Here is a 21,172-nt window from a genome sequence, read left to right on the forward strand (position 1 = left end):
GAGAGAGAGTGTGTGTGTGTGTGTGTGTGTGTGTGTGTGTGTATTATGCAAGTTGAGTTGGCAGGAAGGTCTTTGCTGAGCTAGACCAATGCCTCCACTCTTCAGAGGGGATGCTCACCAAGCAATAGCCAGCCGAGGTGGTGGACCTGGTTTCCCTGGATCTGCACCTGAAGGCTGTCCTTGGCCCCAGGGGCAGGATTGACGGTGGTGCTAGCCTGGCATCGCTGCTGAAGGATGGCAGCCACTGAGTATGGGTCCAGACCATAGGCCTCCAAGTTCCGGACCACGGTCACCTGGGGGGACAGTGGGGACAGAGACTGACGGTGGTGACTGCATTCCCTTCCCTCCAGAGGGCCTTCCAGAGCCTCAGCAGCCTTCTGAGCCCCTGTGTTCTCTGATGGTTCACCATTCCTATAACCCTAGTACTTTTTAAATCCAAATCACTTATTTTTGTGCTTCTAAATTGATTCTGTCTACCCCATCCAATATATGTATTACATATTTAGAGGGACAGATACTCTCTGTATCACACAGAATGTCTACTTCTTTTTTAAGTTTTATTTGGAGAATTCAAAACATAAATGAAAGCAGAATAGTATATAAACCCACATGTACCTATCACCAGTTTCAACAATTACCAACTCATGGCCAACCTTGATTCATCTATACCCCTGTCTACTCCCCACTCCTCTATTACTTTAAAGCAAACCTCCCCAGACATCAGATCATTTCATCTATAAATATTTCAGTATGTATCTCCAAAAGACAAGGCTCATTTAAACATAAAAACAAAACCATCATCACACCTAAAAATAAAGTAACAAACAATAGCTCCTTAATATCAACAATCTAGTCAGCAACACATGCATTCTTCTGGTATTCAGCTTCACAAATGACAAGTATGTGACTTTGAGATAAAAAAGAAAAATGTTAGTGCTTTTAAAATATCACAATTCTCCCCCTTGTTGCTTTAAAACAAATTCTTTCTCATTCATGACTACAGATAGTAAAGTGTATTACTATCAGGGGTGTGTGGGGGATGACTGCTATCAATAAAGACTATAAAAGCTCCAACTAGCCTTACGCTTATCAATGAGCTCCAGACCCAGAAAATCTTAGAATCAATAAGACTTTAGAGGACGTATCTCTTCCAATTGCCCACCTGATGCATGAACCCCCAACTACATCCTCCCCTGACAAGTGCTCACCTAATTTTTGCTTGCAGACTCTCCAGAAAAAAATTCACTATTTTATGAAGCACCAATTTCAATTTTGGACAATTCTATTTGTCATTATTAACAGAAAATTAGTGTTTACATAAACTATATATATGAAAATTATTTAGTTCAGTGTCTGGCACATAATTAAACACTCAATAAATAGTGACTGTTACTAATTATTGTAAAGATTATCATTACTGGTTCTCAATTATTGAGAACCAAGTATTTATATGCCAAGTACATTCTAAGTGCTTCAGCCATGTATACGCCTTCATTTGATCCTCACAATGCCTTACCAGGTAGGTATTATCCCCATTTTTCACAGAGTAAAACTCAGACAAAAAGAAATGAAGTAACATGCTCAAGGTCAGGCAGTGAGGCAACGGCTGCATTTGAACCCAGTACTATCCAAAGCCCACGCTCGTAACTGTACACTACTACAAAGTTCTTGAGTCTTTACAAAGACAGACTCAAGTCTGCCTTCTTGGCATTTCCACCCAATAATCCTATTTCTGTCCTTTCAAGGCATATAGAATAAGTGCCCTACTTTGCCAGGGGACAGCTTTGCACATATTTGAGGAGAGATGTCATTGGTTCCCCACAATTTTGTGTTGCCAAGCTAAACACACTCAGTTCCTTCAGCAAGTTTTTTACAAGTTATTTTCATTGAGCAAGGCCTAAGAGGTGAAAGAATATGTGGGAGCTGAATGTCCATAACATAGTTCTAAGAAAAAAATGAAAATACAATCTTGTTTACTTTTGGAACCAGGCTCTAGCAAGTTTCCTAGAACAAAATCCTAGAGGGCAGTGAGTGAGCGGGGTCAGCTTTACCTGTTTCATACAGAGCCCAGCCCAGGCACATAAACACGGGTGTTTCATAAAAAAATCTTTGATGAGTTTGAGGCCAATCTAAAAACCTCCAATCACATTAGGGAGACCAGAACTTGGCAAGAACATTAAATCACTATCCTTGAACATTGTGTCTTTCTAAAATTACCTTTTTATTAGACGCTCTTTGTGCTAGGGTGATGTCAATTGGACAGATTCTCCCTTTCTTCACAATGGGCTCTTGTCCGGGAAGGGTCACTTGATAGGCAGGCTGTAATTTTTCCAAACACCTGAAACAGAAGTTATGAGTTGCAAACTGATAAAGCCAACAGAAACCATTTCCTCATACCCCACTACCAGCAGGCAGTTAGGTGTAGGCTGAAATTGCAGGTCCACAACCTTGGCTGCACATTAGAATCATTCAAATCCCTAGGGAGCTACAGCCCAGATCAATGAAATCTGTATCTCTGACTAGGGCTATGTATTTTTTAAAGCTCCCTAAAATGCGGCCAAGGTAGACACCCACTGATTCAAAGATGGGAACATCAGTGACTTAGGCCCCTGGAAACGGTCCACTGACCTGGCCTTTTGAGAATCTGCCCAGTCTGCCCTGTGGAGGCTACTACCTGTCTCAAGAATGTGCCTTAAGTGGCCCATTGCCTGCGAGTGCTGCTTCACATTTCTGACATGTTTTATAGAGAACTTTTACCACGAGGAGTTTCTACCTTTTATCTAACCAAGTTTTCTCTTGCTATCACATATATCAGGATCAACAACTTTTTCTATAAAGGGCTAGACAGTAAATATTTTTGGTTTTGCCAGTCACCTGGTCTCTTACAACTACTCAGTTCTGCCATTATAGCATAAAACCAGCGCACAGACAACACATAAATGGATATGGTTGTGTTCCAACAAAACTTTATTTACAAAAACAGGTGGCAGGCCAGATTTGACCCATGGGCTGTAGTTTGCTGACTCCTGACAATAAACTATTTTCAGTTATGTGGAAAAGAAGGAATATTAAAAATTTTTCCTTTAAAGACTTTAAGACACTTTTCCCCAGCCTTCTTTTGCTTCTGCATCTTATTGAAGTTTTATTTTATTTTTTCTTATTTTTTTAAATGCCCTCACTTTAACAGAGTAAGTTCTTTTTTTGAGACAGGGTCTCACCTTGTCACCCAGGCTGGGGTGCAGTGACATGAAAATGGCTCAATGCAGCCTCCACCTCCTGGGCCCAAGCAATCCTACCGCCTCCGCCTCCCAAAGTGCTGGGACTACAGGCATGCACCACTATGCCTGCCTGAAGTTCTTATTTTTAATTAATGTTCCTTTTTGTTCTTCCTTTCAAGCTCTCCCATGTCATATTGGCTCAAATTGTTCCAAAGACCCCCCAAATCAGAGTTCCTCAAGCCTGTGTTTATGTAGACTGACTTGGTATGAATTACAGAAAGAAAATCAAAGGCTAAGATAGTGACAGTATTAAAGTTCAATGTGATCAACATTAAGGCGAGGGGATAGAAAAGTTGGAGAGGGACTGCCAATGCTCGTTACCTGGTCAGAAGACTGTCCCATGGAAGCTTCATGACTGTATGCTGTTCATTTTTCTCTAAGATGCAGTCACATAGGATGGGATCCAATCTCACAAGACTAAAGGGAAAGAAGAGGCAATGAAGAAATCCTAGACTTGTCCCTTCTGACCTGAAGGCTAATTCAGGATTCATCTCTCGTACGGCCTTTATAGACATTCAGGATATGAATCAATTATGGGCCCACAGTCCAAAAGGCAATGTACCTTATGGGTGGGAGATACACGAATGCTTTCCTAGGAAAAGCAGGAGGTGGAAGGGAAAGTGAGATGGGATAAATTTGAAGATCAGGAGCCTTTGCTACTAACTAAGCATGTGACCACAGCTTTCTAAGCTTAGCATCAAAATTGGCTAGTGAGGAAGAAAGAAAGGAAGTGGGGATCTTTAAAATGAAGGTGTTGGCCAGGTGCAGTGGCTCACGCCTGTAATCCCAGCACTTTGGGAGGCTGAGGCGGGAGGATCACCTGAGGTCAAAAGTTCAAGACCAGCCTGGCCAACATGGTAAAACCCCATCTCTACTAAAAATAGGGCCGGGCGCAGTGGCCCACGCCTGTAATCCCAGCACTTTGGGACGCCGAGATGGGTGGATCACTTGAGGTCAGGAGTTCAAGACTAGCCTGGCCAACATGGTGAAACCCCGTCTCTACTAAAAATACAAAAATTAGCCGGGCATGGTGGCGCATCCCTGTAATTCCAGCTACTTGGGAGGCTGAGGCAGGAGAATCGCTTGAACCTGGGAGGCAGAGGTTGCAGTGAGCACAGATTGTACCATTGCACTCCAGCCTGGGCAACAAGAGCAAAACTCTGTCTCAAAAATAAAAATAAAACATAAAATAAAATGAAGGTATTAGATTAGGCTGGTATGTCTCAACTTTTTTATCATGATGATGTTTTTTTAAAGTGAAAAAAAAATTTTTTTTTGAGATGGGGTTTCACTGTATCACCCAGGTTGCAGTGCAGTGGCATCATCATTGCTCACTGCAGCCTCAACCTCTTGGGCTCAAGCGATCCTCCCACCTCAACCTCCCAAGTGGCTGAGACTACAGGCATGCCCTACCATGCCCGGCTAATTTTTGTATTTTTTGTAGCGACAGGGTTTCATCATGCTGCTCAGGTGGGTCTCAAACCCCTGGCCTCAAGCAATCCTCCCACCTCAACCTACAAAAATGTTGGGATTACAGACATAAGCCACAGTGTCCGGCCATTAAAGTAAAAAACAATTAATGGAACTCTCTTCATCTGGTAGTTTACCATCTGTATCTCCTTTTAAGAAAATAATACCATAATGGGTACAAATATACAGTTAGATAGAAGAAATAAGTTTAGTCTTTGAGAGCAGAGTAAGGTGACTGTAGTTAACAACAATGTATTGTGTATGTCAAAATAGCTAGAAAAGAGGACTTACAGTGTTCCCGACACATAGAAATGGTAAATACTCAAGGTGATGATACCCCAAATACCCTGCCTTGATCGTTATACACTCTGTGCATGTAACAAAATACCATGCACCCCATAAATATGTACAAATATCTATCAATAAAAATAAATACCTAAAGCTATGATGACTTCAGTAAATTCTTTGTAAGCTTGCATTTTATTCCTCACAATAGCCAATTAAAGATGATTCATGGGTATTTGTGAGAGAATATTTACTTAGTCGGTAGTCAATGTTGATCGTATACATGGATCTGAACACCCCAGACAATAACTGAGTGTCCACAGCCCATGGTTTGGAAACCACTGATCTTAATTACCTCTAAGATGCTATGGTTTTCTATTCTCCCTCCCAGACATCCTCCCCAAATGTGTCTATGTCTGATAAAGACAAAGACCCAATAAGACAGATCTGGTGCTTCTCATGCACTCACTTTTTGTTGTCTGCATCAACCAGGTCATTTTTCTTGGCGTAGTTAATGACGATCGTTCGGACCTCACTGCCCTCCAGAAAGCTCCCCTTCCTAGGTGAGGAGAAGTGACCCAGGGGTTAGTTCATGCTGTGCCATGAGACAAAAATGCAGATGCCCAGACTCACTCCCTGCTGAGCAGGGAACTTTCCTTAGCTTTCGGCCTCTAGTTTCTTCCCTTTTCCTGACTGAAGTGAGCATGACCATGTGAAGAATAATTACACGCAGAAAAGGGTGAGACCTACTCGTTCATTTAGTCCAGAGGAACTTGCCCAGGGAAGAAGGCTGGAAGCTGGATTTTGGAGAAGGGGAGAACAGGGGCAGAGCAGGTTTTGCCAGTCGCAAAAGAGCACTACTCAGGTTGAGAGGAACTGTAGGCCAGAACACCAAGCAGGCAGAGAAGGGCTGCTCTCCAAAAACTCACTTGTGGCCAGACTCCTGGAAGAGCAGGGTCATGCTGGCTGGGACACAGTAGAGGGGTTTTATATCTGGAGGGTGATAGGGCTGTTCCCTGCTACCCTCCTGGATAGTCTGGGAGGTCGGGGAGGGCTCGGGTATGACGAAAGATGTAATCCTAAAACCCAGCAGAAGGAAAGAAAAAACACATTTTATACTAGCATCTCAGCAATCCCCAGTCCGTGGCCCAGGTGCCCTGGGGCCAGCTGGGCTACAGTGACAGGCCCCCTGCACTCACCTCGGGTGTTTCCAGTCCACAGCCACAATGCTCTCCACCCCTTTGCTCAGCTCCTTCACCTGTATAATCTGCTCCTGCTGCATTTGCTGCAGGAACTTAGAGAGCTAAGGGAGAGAGGGCCAGTGGTAGGGGACTTCATTGATTCCACACACATACTGAGCACCCAGGATGTGCCAGAGTGAGCTAGGCAGGGACTGTGCAGGGATATGAGACAGCCCCTGCCTTCATCAACCAGGAACTGGGAGGCCCCCAACCTGAGGGCCAGGGAGCAAGAAGCTGCTAGAGACTAACCAGTGAGGCCGTTCAGAACTCTAATCAGATATAAAGGGGTCAAAGGAGAAAGGAAAGTGGGTGCCACCAACTGCTTCAGCCCAGGGAGAGTTTCTTTCTTCCCCCTTATACTTGGAGTCAAAAAGCTTAATTCTAGACTGAGCCTGGTAGACAAGGCTTCCCCAGCATCCATCTGGCTTATGTCATATGTGCCCCTACACAACTCTCTGCATGGGTCTGCAAAGAAGATCCTTGCTTACCTTTTTGTAGCTTGACTTCTTTATGTCCAGTTGTCGTCCTTCGGGGCTGATGGCAGATGGAAAAGGCAAATTAAACTAATGAGCAGTCATACTGGGACCTGCCTGACACTGAGAGGAGGGCCTTTTTCCTCAGCCTTCCTCCCCCACCTTCAGAGAGAGGCCACTGTGCCAGAACTCTCTGCCCAGGGATGACAGCAGAGAGGGATGCAGACTATGGGACATTCTAAATCAGTGCTGTTCAAGAGAACTTTCCATAGACGTGGAATGTTCTCTGTGTTGTCTAACAGGGCAGCCATTAGCCACATGTGGGTAGTAAGTACTTGAAGTGTGACTAATGTGACCAAGGGAACTGAATTTTAAATTTTATTTACTTTAAATTAATTTAAACTGAAAATAGCGACATGTGGCCAGTGGCTACCACATTGGATACAGCCTTAGATTCCTCCCAGACCAGACAACCTTCTGTGGCCTCCAAAGTTGCAACAGCAAACTCACACTGTGGGCAGCCAGGCCTGGAGTGGGGCCCAGCAAGCCGCATCCTGGGGTCAGGTCTGGCCAACTAATTATCTACTGTCTATGGTCACATTAGTGCTACAATGGCAGCATCGAGCAGTTGCAACAGAGATGGTGTGGCCTGCAAAACTGAAAATATTCATATTTACTATCTGGCCCTTTACAGAAAAACATGCTGACCCCTGCACTACAGCAATTAGTTTTGGAGAGAACATTCCTGATAAAAGCTTACATCTTCTCTCAAAACATGACACGCAATAGCAGTGGATTCTCGAGGAGTCCTTCTAGAATCCACCCCAGAATCCTATCCTACAGAATATTCTGGGGCCCCTTTACCATATATTTGCAACCCAAGAAAGTCAGAACAGATTACCAAGTATCCCTCCACACACTCCAGACACCACATTTGTACAGGATAGCTTAAAGACACCCAAGTATAAATGGGAAGACATTACATTAAGAATCACTTTTTTAAAAAACCACAGCCAGATTCTCAAAAAGAAATAAATTCAGGCCGGACACAGTGGCTCACGCCTGTAATCCCAGCACTACGGGAGGCCGAGGCAGGCGGATCACTTGAGGTTAGGAGTTCAAAACCAGCCTGGGCAACATGGTGATACCCCATCTTTACTAAAAATACAAAAATTAGCTGCACATGGTGGCATGTGCCTGTAATCCCAGCTACTCGGGAAGGCTGAGGCAGGAGAATCTCTTGAACCTGGGAGGCAGGGGTTGCAGTGAGCCGAGATCACGCCACTGTACTCCAGCCTGGGTGACAGAGTGAAACTGTGTCTCAAAACAAAAAATAAATAAATAAATAAATTCAATCTCAGGGTAAAAATCAATAAGCAAACCTCCTGACATGATAGTATTTACTGAATGCTTATTATGGTTCAGGCTATGTAATCTTTACAGCAATCCCATGATTATTAGAAATTAGGACTCAGAGAAGCCCAGTAACAAGCTAAAATGCACATTGCTTGAACACCCTGGAGACCTAGCAGTTGAGTACAGACAGCTCTGTCTTCAAAATCCAGGTTCTATCCACACGCAATAATACCACTCCTGATGGCTTGTGTTTTGGATGGGGTGGGCCGGGACGGGGGGTGTTCACACCAATTCTTCCTCCTAATAAAACCTAATGTGGCCCCCCACATACTTTTCAGAAGTGTGAGGAGGTTGAATGTTCCAGAAGAAGATTCCTGACAAAGAGGCTGCCCTGGGACACTTCCTGCAGAGGACACGCTGCCCGATTTGTGAGGTTGCCCAGAACCCCCACGGCAGAGGCAGTGTTCACAGAATCTCAGGAATTTTAACTTTCCGGTCCTCAATATCCTTTCATTGGCTAAAATTTAAGATTTTGTTTTAACAGCCCAGCAAGCTAAGAATTAACTTTTTAGAACCCAGGAACTAATGTATTTGTCAGATAAGCCTTCCCTCCACTCTTTCCACAGCATGTCCCTCAACCAGTCCCTGCATTGGCCCCATCCTGTCCTACTACCAAGGAGCACACGTGAGACCCCGGCCCCGGCCTCCAGCCCACATCAGTGCTTTCCATACCAGCAGGAGAACATGTGGCTGCCAAGGAAAGTGCTGGTGAGTAAAGGGAGGTCAGCCTTTTTGACTCGGCACTTCAAGGCATGTAAGAAGCATTGCTGTAACAGCTCATCCATTTGTTCTGCAGGGAAAAGACAAGAGCCACATCCTTCCTGAGGGATACAGAACACCTGGTACAAGAAAACGACCCCCAGCTTCATCCCTACCTCACCCACTTGGCTCTGAAAGGAACCCATTCCCAGGTACCAAAGCTCCCAGCCTCTCTTGAGCACTGAGCCTTTAAAGAGGGTTGACCCCAGAGAAGGAGTCAAGCCACAAAGTCCCACCAAGCTAGGAGTGTTCACCCAGAGAAGTTGAGCCAGAAGAAACCTTGGAGGGCTTTGTAGCTGAAGACAGGCAAATGCCAGGGCAGATTAGCTCCCAGGAAGACGTGACTTATGTGGAAAGGATTCAAAAACAAGATGTGAAAGGGCTGCTGCGCCACCCTCACAGAAAATAAGGACCTTCCCCTCCTCCCCCGGAAGCTTAAGGGCCATTCTAGTCAGCAGTGGAGTGGAGTTCGTCAGGCTCCTAAATTGAGAGGTGGGGAGATGGGCTCTTCTCCTCCTAGAGTTATACCTTGAAGCGTTTTGCTATCTGTGGAGTCTTGGTTCAGGCCCCTGGTGCTGGTGTCTTCTGGGGCTTCTGAGAGAGACTTGTCTTCACGTGCCTGGTGAACCTCCCCATTCTCCTCTTCCCCCTCCAGGGTCATGTGCCTCATGTCTCCCTGCAGGGTGGAGTCCATCTGGACAGACCCCTTCTCTTCACTGAGATCTGCTGAATCCAGGGCCAGTGGAGCAATGGAAGGTGGAGAGGACTTGTTTCCAGACCGCCTGGAAAAATCTCATGTCAGAAACATCAAGCAGCAGCTCCAATACTCTCCAGCCCTGGCCACAGAGGAGTCAGCAGTGAGGTCAGAGACAGCAGAGAGCCAACAGGCAGGAGTGGCCAGGAGGGGGCAGAGAGCCTGTGCCCTCATCTCAAGCGTACTTTCAATTCTGGGCCCCTAAAAGTTCCATGCCTCAGTTTCTTCATCTCTGAAATGGGGAGAATAAATCTTGTCTCCTCCCTATCCCAAAAGAATAATACTATTAATAGACATCCCAAGACTGAGAAAGATTAAAGAAAAAGGAGTTTAAGATAAACTCCCAAAAATGTTCCCTTCATCTGAGTTAATAACAAAACCAATTTGAATTAAATATGAACATTAAGATCGCGAATGCATCTGTAATATCTGTTTGGTGAAATGCAAACCCACGGCTCAGCATATGTAATAAAACACAAACACCTGGACTGCTCAAGGACTGCAAAATCAGTGGCTTCTGTGTTACATCAAATGCAGTCTAACGTGGAAAGCAGAGATTGCCATGGTTTTATGCCACTAAGCCTTAGGAAGACAGGAAAACAGGCGATGCCACATAGCAAAGCACACAAAGCAGTAAAAAACTTTATCTTAGCCAACATTATGCAAATCAAACTAAGTTTTAACTAATAGTTACGGCAAGGCTTCTCAGTGTTGTTCACAGTAAAGCCAAAGGGTATGTTTAGGCTATTCTGATCAGGTAAATACCATAAATATTTTTTTCAAGGTGCAGCGAGAGAACCAAAGCAGCTGCTGCTAAAACAACTTAGACAACCTGACCTTGATTGCTGTTGCCCAGACTGATAGTTAAACAACAAGGTGCTAGGAGAACATCAGTCATCAGCCCTCAAATATCTAAAAACAGGCAAAAATGAGCTTGTACCAGCAAAGGAGGACTTGGCAAGTACTTGTAAAATCAGTAAGTCCGGCGGGGAGCGGTGGCTCACGCCTGTAATCTCAGCACTTTGGGAGGCCTAGATGGGCAGATCACGTGAGGTTAGGAGTTCGAGACTAGCCTGGCCAACACGGTGAAACCCTGTCTCTACTAAAAACAAAAAAATTAGCCGGATGTTTTGGGCACAAGCCTGTAATCCCAGCTACTCGGGAGGCTGAGGTAGGAGAATCACTTGAACCGAGAGGCAGAGGTTGCAGTGAGCTGAGATTGCGCCACTGCACTCCAGCCTGGGCAACAAGAGCAAAACTCCATCTCAAAAAAAAAGGCTGGGCGCAGTGGCTCACACCTGTAATCCCAGCACTTTGGGAGGCCGAGGTGGGTGGATCACAAGGTCAATGGATCGAGACCATCCTGGCTAACATGGTGAAACCCCGTCTCTACTAAAAATACAAAAAATTAGCCGGGCGTGGTGGGAGGTACCTGTGGTCCCAGCTACTCAGGAGGCTGAGGCAGGAGAATGGAGTGAACCGGGAGGTGGAGCTTGCAGTGAGCTGAGATCACGCCACTGCACTCCAACCTGGGCGACAGAGCGAGACTCCATCTCAAAAAAAAAAAAAAAAAAAATTAATAATTCCAAGACTGGGCTGGAAAATATAAGAATGAATCTATACCAACAGGCCACAATACTTGGCTAAATGTGTGCTTTGAGAAAATCACTGCTTACTGTTTTGCTAAAATGACAAGAAAATAACCAGAAAATGAACAGGTACGCGTCTCAAGAATGCAACCTTTACAGTCAGAATGCGTTACTTTCATGAGGAGGAGGAGTCTGGAATGTGAAATCTGAATAACATAAAAGTAATCAGGTTATAATCCTGGAGTCTAAAGGTCTACCCTGCAGTGATTAGGATTCAGAAGCACTCATCATGGGGTCACATGATGTCTAAAATGTGCATCGCAGCTAGGGCCAGATTGACCAGGGCTATAAAAAAACGAGTATCACTGTACTGAGAGGCAGAGCAGATGATCCCTAAGGTCTTCCTTTGGGTCTAAGATTCTATAATTCACTTAGAAAATAAAGTTCTCTCTCATTACTTGTCCAAACAGGGGAAAAAAATATTTTCTTTATATTTGTAAGGAAATAAAAGTCTGGGCTTAGCAACTTGCTTAAAGACATGGCTAGGACCAAAACTCTCACTCCTGAATCACAGGCCCCATCCTCTCCCCAGCTGCCCCGGTTCTCTGTAAAACAGAAGAAACTCTGTACCCACCACAAGTGGTCCTGGTAAGTGTGGAGCACAGAGAAGCCCCTTCCCTTCAGGCCTGACGTGAGCATCTCAGCTGTGGACATGGCTGCAACTCCAATGGCTACAGGGGCTCTAAGAAGAAGGAAGCCAGAGACCAGGGTCATGGAAAATCTATGGGAAGGGCACATGTTAGGATCATCTTCTGACACATGTGGTAAAAATACCAAGGTTACCAATTCGAAGGTCTTGTATCATAAAACCAAACTCAGTCCACTCTCAGTTTTCTTCAGATTATGTACAAATATTACTTTCAAAAATCCCTTGACCAAATATTAAACTAAACACTAAACTTCTGTATTAGTAACTCCTCTATTGACTTTATCACTGCCTTTGTTTTATTCCTGCTGTGAATTAAATCTCCAGGTGGGTCTTGGAAGGATATTTAATGTTCCCTTTCATTAATTTCAAAAATATAAATTATCTCCTCTACCTTAAAGAAGTCATAGCCATCCCATAAGGAAGTTTAAAGGGGAGGCAATTCATATATCATAAATTAGGCTGAGGGATGCCATAGGGAAGAGAGAAGAGACACATAGTGGGGCCAACTAGAGAAGTTCCTTCTAAGTTGACTTTATAAGAGGGGTTGCTCAGTGTAACTATATATCTAAGAACTGGATGTTTCCAGGATATCAAAAACAACCACATATATAGTAACTACAGAAACTTCCAAAGCCCAGATGAGAAATCTCTGCCAGCCCAGTGTTACTCAAGCATTGATCAATCAGATATTGCCTGTAAGGATAGGTGACTAGCTGGATAACAGTGGGGGAATAATACATAAGCCTGGCAAGGTAGCCAGGGTCCAAGTGAGAGTTCCCAATACTTGAACTTGCTTTAAACCTGGTAGCTCTGCTAACTGTACCTATAGGTCAGTTCCTGCCACAAAATCTGAAACTGGCTTCTTTCCCAGTTCTTAAAAGAAGGTTTTTCTCATCTACCCCTGAAAGGTCAATGGCTTGAGAACTCCAGTCTTGAACATGACTTGTATTTTTAACAACCCCTCATATCATTACCCCCACCACAAACCATCCATAGCTCCACCCCCATATACACTCTAAAGGCTAAAGTGAACAGGCCAAATATCCATTTACATAGTTTCCTCCTATCTCAGATAGAATACTGGGGGAGAAAAACGGTAACACCATCATTCTTTTCAACTGTAATTTCTGCTACAGGTAAACAGAAGTTTCTAGGTGCTTGGTTCCAAAGCGTTCAAGGAAAATAGAATAATATGAGTAGCAAAAATAAGATCTTTGAACACTGACCCCTCCCATGCCTACCATCGCTCTTTCCTTCTCTCTCAAAGAAGAAATTATCAAAATAATGAGTCCACCTTGGTCATCTCCATGAAAAAAAATAGTAAGATGTAATTTTTCACTCACTAGGATAACACAAATGAAGATGACCTATCATATCCAGTATTGGTGAGAGTATAGGGAAATAGGCTCCATATATGCTGCAGGTAGGTGTAAAAACTGATACAGCTTGTTTGTAGGAAAACAGAAAATACACATGATCTTCAACCTAACAATTCTGCATTTTAGTATCTACTCTGGAAAAATACTAGCAACAGTGTCCCTAGAGGCATCAATAAGATAACGTTTGTAATAGAGACAAATTGGAGGCAACCTCAATGTCCACCAGGAGAGGGCCTCTTCCATCACCACACAACAGGTAAAAAGGTTTGGCAGATCTGTGTGTTCTTATTTAACACACAGTTAAAGTTAAATGTGTATTGTTAGTATTTAAATGTCCGCATAAAAATAAAAAAGAAAAATTAAAAAAAGAAAACGTCCACACTATATTAAGTGAAAAAATAACACATACACAGTATAATTTTGTTTGAATTTTTAAACACACATACCCTAAGCCATGTATTTTTATACGCACATGTATATATGTGTAGGACAATGACAAGAAGGACACACATCAAAATGATAATGGTTATTTCTAGGAGAAAAAGATTGTGGGGTAAGGGAGGCTTTTAATTTTTCAGAGCTGTTCATACAATTACTTCTTATTTTTAAAAAGAAGCATTGGAGGCTAGACGTAGTGGCTCATGCCTGTGATCCCAACTCTTTGCGAGGCCAAGGCAGGAGTATCGCTTGAAGCCAACAATCTGAGACCAGCCTGAGCAACAGAGTGAGATCCTGTCTGTATGTAAACTGTATCTCAATAAAGCTATCAAAAATAATTAAAAGATGAGGATAATGATATGCATATAGGGAAAAAGCATGAGGGTGATGAAAGACAACAACAACAAAAAAACAAAAAAGGTCACAAACAGGAGACTAAGGAGACATGACAACTAAATGGAATTTGGTATTTTACATTGGATACGTGAAGAGAAAGAAGATATCAGTGAAAAAACTGGGGAAATATGAATAAAGTCTGTAGTTTAGTTAGCAGTACTTTGCCAATGTTAATTTCTTAGTTGTAATAATCTATATTGTGGTTATGTAAGAGGCTACCATTAGAGGAAGCTGGGTAATGAGCATTTCAGAACTCTACTATCTTTGCAACTCTTCTGTAAATCTAAAAAATAAAATAAAATAAAATAAAATAAAAATGCTAAGTTGAAAGAAAACAGAGCAGCAACAGCAAACAGCAAATACACTCTGCCCAGGCACATGGATTCCCCATAGGTTTGCTGCCATTCTCCTGCTGGCCCACTCTGCTTCTTCCAAAACCGATTTTTGCTTTCACTCTTTTGTTCATATGCTTTATAAGTTGTCATTCCCCTCCAACTTCTCTTTTACACAAGTTTTTCCCCCAAAGGCACAGTTGCCTGGCACAGTACCTGTTCCCCACCAAAGAAATGGCACAGAGGTCGCCCTTCTGTACCTGAGGCAGACCAGCAGGGGGCATCACCAGTCCAGGCAGCATCAAATCTGCAATGAACAAAAAAAATCACAACCTGCATTCAGCCTCCATCTCACTCTGCGTTTTACTTCATCATTTCCTCACTCGCTCAACAAAAAAATAGTTACTAGGTATCAACTATGTTTTTCATAATAAAAATGAAAAATGGCAACTTCCAACAAAAAAATAGTTATTAGTTATCAACTATGTTATTCATAATAAAAATGAAAAATGGCAACTTCAGTATCAGACCTTCTCCCCTTAGGGGGCTAAAGGTCAAACAGAGTTTGAGTGTCCTGGCCGGGCGCAGTGCCTTATGCCTGTGGCTTACGCTTTTTATGACCCCTTCACCCATCCAATAGCAGGACATTTATTTTTATTCAAATGGTGGTTTCTAAGCCAGAAGTGGGAACCTTGACTTCCACTCCAGACTCAGCTCCTAACATTCTTCTGGCATAAAAGAGCTACTCTTAGCCAGGTGCGGTGGCTCACGCCTGTAATCCCAGCACTCTGGGAGGCCAAGGCGGGCAGTTGACTTGAGGTCAGAAGTTCGAGACCAGCCTGGCCAACATGATGAAACCCTGTCTCTACTAAAAATACAAAAATTAGCCAGGCGTGGTGATGCACACCTGTAATCCCAGTTACTCGGGAGGCTGAGGCAGGAGAATCACTTGAACCTGGGAGGCAGAGGTTGTAGTGAGCCGAGATCATGCCACTGCACTCCAGCCTGAGCAACAGAGTGAGACTCCATCTCAAAAAAAAAAAAATAAAAAAAGTTTGAGTAGCCTATAACATGATCTGTCTTGTCCTAGTTTCCTAAATTCAGCTTATTGATTTACAGTATAGCACATGGTGGTTCATAAAATACTTTCACAACACTTATTTAAGCCTTACAACAGGGCCAGAGGGGCCCAGAGATCTTGTGTGGAACCAGCCAAGTGAGAAACATAAAACACATAGGGGAAAAAATTCCATTTTTCAACCACAAAAACACAGGAAATGGGTAAGTTTATTACATCAGTTGGCTTTTGCTAAGTAGGTTTCAGCCAATAGCCAGAATATAGGAGAATCCTCTTACCTGCTCCCCCTACCAGTTTCTCGAGCACCAGAGGCCATGTTGTAAAGGTTGGCAGAAGATCAGGATAGGACCACAGCGTGTACACTGTACAAAAAGAGATCCAGAAAACACTACTACCAAAAAGCCAATCTTCTAGAGAAATGGAAAAACCTAACACTATGGTCACTTTAATTAGAATACAGGAAAGAAACTCAACTCAAAGCTAAAGAGAAGGTTGTAAGGGGATGCCCAGAGAGGTTTCATTTTTGAGGAAGGAAAAAACCTAAGAAACTGAGTGTCACTTGAGATTTGGAGGCATCCGGATTGCAGCAGCAGAAAATGGTCACAGTGGACAAAAAAGTGAGGGCAGAGAACCAATGAAGCTTTTATTTACGGCTTCAGAAGCAAGTAGCCTAAGAACAGGAAGCCAGCTGTATAAAATTTGGAAACTTTCCCATGTTTATCATTTTTATCCCCTCTGTTTCCATAGTGATTAGCAGCAAAAACCCCTAGGTCAAAAAGCATTGTGGTTGTCTTCAGGTACAGCAAGGAAGTGAGATCAGGGGCAGGAGTGGCCTAAGGATATTGCATTGCACTATTGCAGACAACCCTGGAGGATGAAAAGCCCCAAGTTACAAAGTAGGTGTCAGCAGCTATGGAAAAGAGAAAAGGAGACTGAGTCCCTGAGATTTGTGACAGAGAAGGCAAAGAATCCTAGAGAGCCACTCATAGCCTAAAAAATCCCTGTGAGACCTATGGTTAAAGTACACCATGAAAACAGCTGGATATGTAGCTTATCAATCCAGCTTTATTCCTATCACAGTATATCTTTTCAGTATTTTAGGAAAATCCTGCTACAGATAGTTTTAAGAAACATTTTTTAGGCTGGGCACCCTGCTCATGCCTGTAATCCCAACACTTCGGGAGACTGAGGCAGGAAAATCACTTGAGCTCAAGAGTTCAAGACCAGCCCGAGCAACATAGTGAGACCTTGTCTCTACCAAAAATTTTAAACGTAGCCAGACATGGTGGCATATGCCTGTAGTCCCAGCTACACAGGAGGCTGAGGTGGGAGGATCCCTTAAGCACAGGAGGTTGAGGTTACAGTTAGCTACGATCACACCACTGCACTTCAGCCTGGGTGACAGAGTAAGACCTTGTCTCTAAAAAATATATATATTTTTGGCCAGGCGCGGTGGCTCACGTCTGTAATTCCAGCACTTTGGGAGGCCGAGGCGGGCGGATCATGAGGTCAGGAGATCAAGATCATCCTGGCTAACATGGTGAAATCCCGTCTCTACTAAAAAATGCAAAAAATTAGCAAGGTGTGGTGGCGGGTGCCTGTAGTTCCTGCTACTCGGGAGGCTGAGGCAAGAGAATGGTGTGAACCCAGGAGGCGGAGCTTGCAGTGAGCTGAGATTGCGCCACTGCACTCCAGCCTGGGCAACAGAGCAAGACTCTGTCTCATGAAGACATGCCCTGAAATTCCATCCTTTTCAAGACCTCTGCTCTATTCCTAGTCAACCCACTGTAAACTTCTCAGCCACTGTTCCTTCATCTCAGAACTTCCCTTTGCAACCACCCTTACTTACTATGTCAGCCCTTTTTTTAATCCCTCCTATAGTGGTTTTGCATAAGAGAAAACCTTTTGCATCCTAGAATTGAAAGACCCAATTCTAGGAACACCAGGTCCATAAAGATCCTTGGGGATGGTATTGGGAGATTTCGTGCTTGCTTATTTTATGGGAGACAATGGAAGAAACAGAGAGAAGCAGATGTTAGGCAAGAACTACCTAATGGTAATGGCCATCTTCGTCCTGTTGTCATACCTGTTGGATACAGATTTTTCTCCAGTTCAAAGAGGATGGGGTTACCACCACTCACGTACACAGTCACTGCATCCCCTTTGTGAGCATACAACTTCACAATGTTGAGCTCCTCCTTTCCAGGTACTAACTCAGAGACTTGATCAGTTCCAAGGGTGGGGAAAGCAGTTGTCACATCAGCTCGAAGCTTTCTCCTGTGGAAAGCACACCAGCACTGTGAATGCTGCCTGGACAGACTTTTAATAAATATCAAGAACGAACTCAAAAGTGCTCACTATAAAATCACAAGGGCCAAAGAAAGATTGCCTGGTTTATGATGTCCTAGTCTCACACACACTCTTCTGAAACATCCTAAACTCTTTTTCATCCATTGTCATCTATTTTCACTCATTCCTGGGGTATGCCTTCCCATTTTATGGGTGGGAAAACAGGCCCAGTGAACAATCCAAGTTAGCCTGACACAGGAAACAGCCCTGCCTTCCTGACTTCATGCCTAGCCCTTGGGCCCACTCCTTTCTCATACATGCTTCGCAAATATGCCAGTTTATGATTAAATAACTATGCCATGAGACCTATAGACAACTATAAAGCACTGGTTACAAAATTCCAAACACAATCTCCATTTGTGACCCTGTCTGAACAGATACAGTTCTTCTTACCACATGTGCCTTATTCCCTCCCACCTCAGTTTCCAGCTGTCTCTCCTGCCAGAATTAATCACTAGTCATTTTTTTCTCTTATACTTTTAATTCTTGGTATCCCATCCGATCTCTCCCAAGGGGCATTAAGCTCTTTGGAGGGCAAGAATTCTGTATTCCTTCACTTCTGCATTCTCCACAACACCTTAAATAGTCTGCAGTCAGTAAACTCTGACTTAACTACGTTTTCTTTTAAACTCACTAGACTATCCAAAAGAGAGCCAGGTCCCCCTCCATCCTCACCTCAAAATGTGTCTAACCCACCCTTGCCTCCTGGGGTCCCTTCCCTGGCATACCCCTCGGCCTCCACCCGAGGATGTCGGCCAAGAATAGCGAGGGCTATGGGCCAGCGGGGCCCAAGAGGTGTCTGGTTGTTCCGTGGCAGAGCAGGCCCCTTTCCTCCCTCACCTGTCCGACCCCTTGATGGCCGTGTTGGACTTGACCCGAAAGGCCTTGGCAAACATGTCTGCTGGGGTGGCCTGGGGAAGAGAGCACAGAAGCCAGGGAATGTCAAGAAAGCGAGGGCGCAGCAGCTGCCAGGCCCTCAGCCGTGGGGGCAGCCATGCTGGGGCCCGGCCGCGAAAAGGGCCCGGCTGGAAACCAGGGCCGCGCAGCTTCGTGGCCGTTGCCGCTGGGGAGGCCGCGGCCGCCCCCAGTGGCGGTACCTGGAACTAAAGCAGGGCAGGGAGGGGCAGGGCCCAGGGAACGCCCCTCCCCCCCACCTTCCCATCCCCTCGCGGGCCTGGCTCTGCGCCTGCGCGAGCGGCTCGGGTTCCCCGTCCGTAGCGACTCGGCCACGCCAATAGCTGTTCTGTTTATTTCCTTCCACCCCATCAACCTTAGGAACTGCTTTGAGTAGAAGCTCTCTGCAAGCTCCCATTCCATTCGGTTCGGTTCAATTCCGCAAAAATAATTGAACTGATAAACAGTTCAGGCTTCGGCCGGGCGCGGTGGCCCAAGCCTGTTATCCCAGACTTTGGGAGGCCGAGGCGGGCGGACCGCTTAAGCCCAGAAGTTCGAGACCAGCCTGGGCAACATGGCGAAACCCCATCTCCATAAAAAATACAAAATAAAAAAAAAAAAAAAAAAAAAAAAAAAGAAAGAAAGAAAGAAAGAAAAAGAATTGGGAGGCCGAGGTGGGCGGATCACCTGAGGTCGGGAGTTCGAGACCAGCCTGATCAACATGGAGAAACCCTGTCTGTACTAAAAATACAAAATTAGCCGGGCATGGTGGAGCATGCCTGTAATCCCAGCTACTCGGGAGGCTGAGGCAGGAGAATTGCTTGAACCCGGGAGGCAGAGGTTGTGGTGAGCCGAGATTGCACAATTGCACTCCAGCCTGGGCAACAAGAGTGAAAGTCCGTCTCAAAAAAAAAAAAAAAAGAAAAGAAAAAAGAAAAATTCAGCCGGGTGTGGTGGCGCATGCCTGGGGAGGCTAAGGCGGTAGGATCGCTTGAGCCCAGGAGGCAGAGGTTGCCGTGAGCCGAGATTGTGCCACTGCACCCCACCTTGGACAACAGAGTAAGACTCCGTATCAAAAAAATCAAACAAACAAACAAAAAAACCTCGAGGGCTTTTTGAATATTTTTCTTTATTTTATTTTATTTTGTTTACTTGGAGACAGGGTCTCGCTGTGTCACCCAGGCTGGAGTGCAGTGGCGCAATCTCAGCTCAATGCAGCCTCCACCTCCCGGGCTCAAGCGATCCATCCGCTTCAGCCTCCCGAGTAGCTGGGACTACAGGCGGGCACCACCACACCAGGCTAATTTTTGTATTTTTTGTAGAGACAGGATCTCACCTTGTTGCCCAGGCTGGTCTCAAACTCCTGAGGTCAAGAGATCTGTCCGCCTCGGCCTCCCAAAGTGGTGGGATTACAGGACAGGTGTGAACCACCAAGTCGGGCCTAAATGTTTTTCTTAAAGGCATTCTATGATTAAGGTCTATTCATTGTACTATAAGCTAGAAGCCTCAGCTAGAATTTTCTGTAAGATTTTTCTCATCCCGGATTTTTAGTTTACTTGGGTGGTAATAACAGTAATAGAGAATTCACTGTTGTCCCAGATTTGTCCCAAAGTCACACAGGCAGGGAAGAGAAATTAGGTTTTCCTCAAAGGGACAGCTGTGTTCCCTGGAGACAAGGATTTAAACACCCGGAATCCTGGCTCTTCGTAAATTAAGTCTTGCATATTAAAATTACATTAAGCAATTTAAGTAATAAAAGTAAATTATGTTTTGCATATTAAAACTTCCAAGTGTCCATTCACCAATAAAAAATCCCAATTGATTCAGTGACGCAGTTGCACAAAGGAGAATTCCACACTGGCTTTCTAAACATTAGGCCTTCTACAATGTTTGCCCACCACCTATAGTGGCCTAGGGACCAGCCCCAACTCCTCCTAAACCTGTGACCCACTAGGCCTTTATTCTGAAGTATCCCAGCCACCAGGCCAATGTCAAAGGAGCCCAGAGGAGGACAGTGCCTACAACAGACCCCTGTACCCACCCTTCACCTCCCACTTAGCCACTCTTCGGATGTGCAATACATTTGGGGTCTTTTGCAGCACAGCTGCTGAGGAAGCCTCTTTCTTAGGGAACAGAGGAAAGCTATTCAGAGAATACTAAACATTTTAAGCTAGGGGAACTTTTGTATACCAGATGTCCTTGGATAAGAAAACATCAATTGTAAACCTAAAAATTAATTAGTGGTTGACAAGTAGGAGCCAAGACCCCAGAGGATTCTGCACCATGGCATCCAGCCTCCTCTTTGGTAGAGCAAGAGCCCCCTTCCCCAGTG

General features: G+C 44.5%; 1 protein-coding gene across 8 annotated transcripts in view, besides 5 other annotated features; it reads right to left on the reverse strand.

Moving 5' to 3' along the window:
* The window catches only part of EIF2D (eukaryotic translation initiation factor 2D), a 43,320-nt gene extending 24,355 nt beyond the window's left edge, over nucleotides 1–18,965 (reverse strand). For 3 of the 8 annotated variants that reach the window (XR_001737023.3, XM_011509257.3, NM_006893.3), the window contains exons 1-14: nucleotides 18,787–18,965; nucleotides 17,684–17,874; nucleotides 15,876–15,959; nucleotides 14,736–14,826; nucleotides 11,900–12,007; nucleotides 9,451–9,704; nucleotides 8,836–8,953; nucleotides 6,763–6,808; nucleotides 6,233–6,336; nucleotides 5,963–6,112; nucleotides 5,503–5,592; nucleotides 3,600–3,695; nucleotides 2,218–2,338; nucleotides 119–293 (exon numbers count right to left, since the gene is read on the reverse strand). Coding sequence is in view for 6 of the 8 variants with exons in the window: in XM_011509257.3 (XP_011507559.1) it covers nucleotides 119–293; nucleotides 2,218–2,338; nucleotides 3,600–3,695; nucleotides 5,503–5,592; nucleotides 5,963–6,112; nucleotides 6,233–6,336; nucleotides 6,763–6,808; nucleotides 8,836–8,953; nucleotides 9,451–9,704; nucleotides 11,900–12,007; nucleotides 14,736–14,826; nucleotides 15,876–15,959; nucleotides 17,684–17,874; nucleotides 18,787–18,842 (1,684 nt within the window). In the remaining 2 variants the exon portion in view is untranslated. Of the gene's footprint in view, nucleotides 1–118; nucleotides 294–2,217; nucleotides 2,339–3,595; nucleotides 3,696–5,502; nucleotides 5,593–5,962; nucleotides 6,113–6,232; nucleotides 6,337–6,762; nucleotides 6,809–8,835; nucleotides 8,954–9,450; nucleotides 9,705–11,899; nucleotides 12,008–14,735; nucleotides 14,827–15,875; nucleotides 15,960–17,683; nucleotides 17,875–18,786 lie in introns of those variants that run through there. The other 5 variants (XM_005277509.4, NM_001201478.2, XM_006711196.4 and 2 more) reach the window with 5 other exon arrangements.
* Nucleotides 8,387–9,586: an enhancer, noted in NCBI's record as "MED14-independent group 3 enhancer chr1:206775241-206776440 (GRCh37/hg19 assembly coordinates)". NCBI's record gives its function as "activates an origin of replication core promoter dependent on BRD2, BRD4, P300/CBP and CDK7 cofactors, and independent of MED14, by STARR-seq in HCT116 cells {active_cell/tissue: HCT116}" and the evidence as "EXISTENCE:reporter gene assay evidence [ECO:0000049][PMID:35650434]".
* Nucleotides 16,048–16,147: an enhancer, noted in NCBI's record as "active region_2408". NCBI's record gives its function as "activates an Ori minimal core promoter by ATAC-STARR-seq in GM12878 lymphoblastoid cells {active_cell/tissue: GM12878}" and the evidence as "EXISTENCE:reporter gene assay evidence [ECO:0000049][PMID:35858748]".
* Nucleotides 16,188–16,247: an enhancer, noted in NCBI's record as "active region_2409". NCBI's record gives its function as "activates an Ori minimal core promoter by ATAC-STARR-seq in GM12878 lymphoblastoid cells {active_cell/tissue: GM12878}" and the evidence as "EXISTENCE:reporter gene assay evidence [ECO:0000049][PMID:35858748]".
* Nucleotides 18,658–18,727: an enhancer, noted in NCBI's record as "active region_2410". NCBI's record gives its function as "activates an Ori minimal core promoter by ATAC-STARR-seq in GM12878 lymphoblastoid cells {active_cell/tissue: GM12878}" and the evidence as "EXISTENCE:reporter gene assay evidence [ECO:0000049][PMID:35858748]".
* Nucleotides 19,018–19,227: a silencer, noted in NCBI's record as "silent region_1758". NCBI's record gives its function as "represses an Ori minimal core promoter by ATAC-STARR-seq in GM12878 lymphoblastoid cells {active_cell/tissue: GM12878}" and the evidence as "EXISTENCE:reporter gene assay evidence [ECO:0000049][PMID:35858748]".

This window comes from Homo sapiens, chromosome 1, assembly GCF_000001405.40.
Source record: "Homo sapiens chromosome 1, GRCh38.p14 Primary Assembly".
Taxonomy (NCBI): domain Eukaryota; kingdom Metazoa; phylum Chordata; class Mammalia; order Primates; family Hominidae; genus Homo; species Homo sapiens.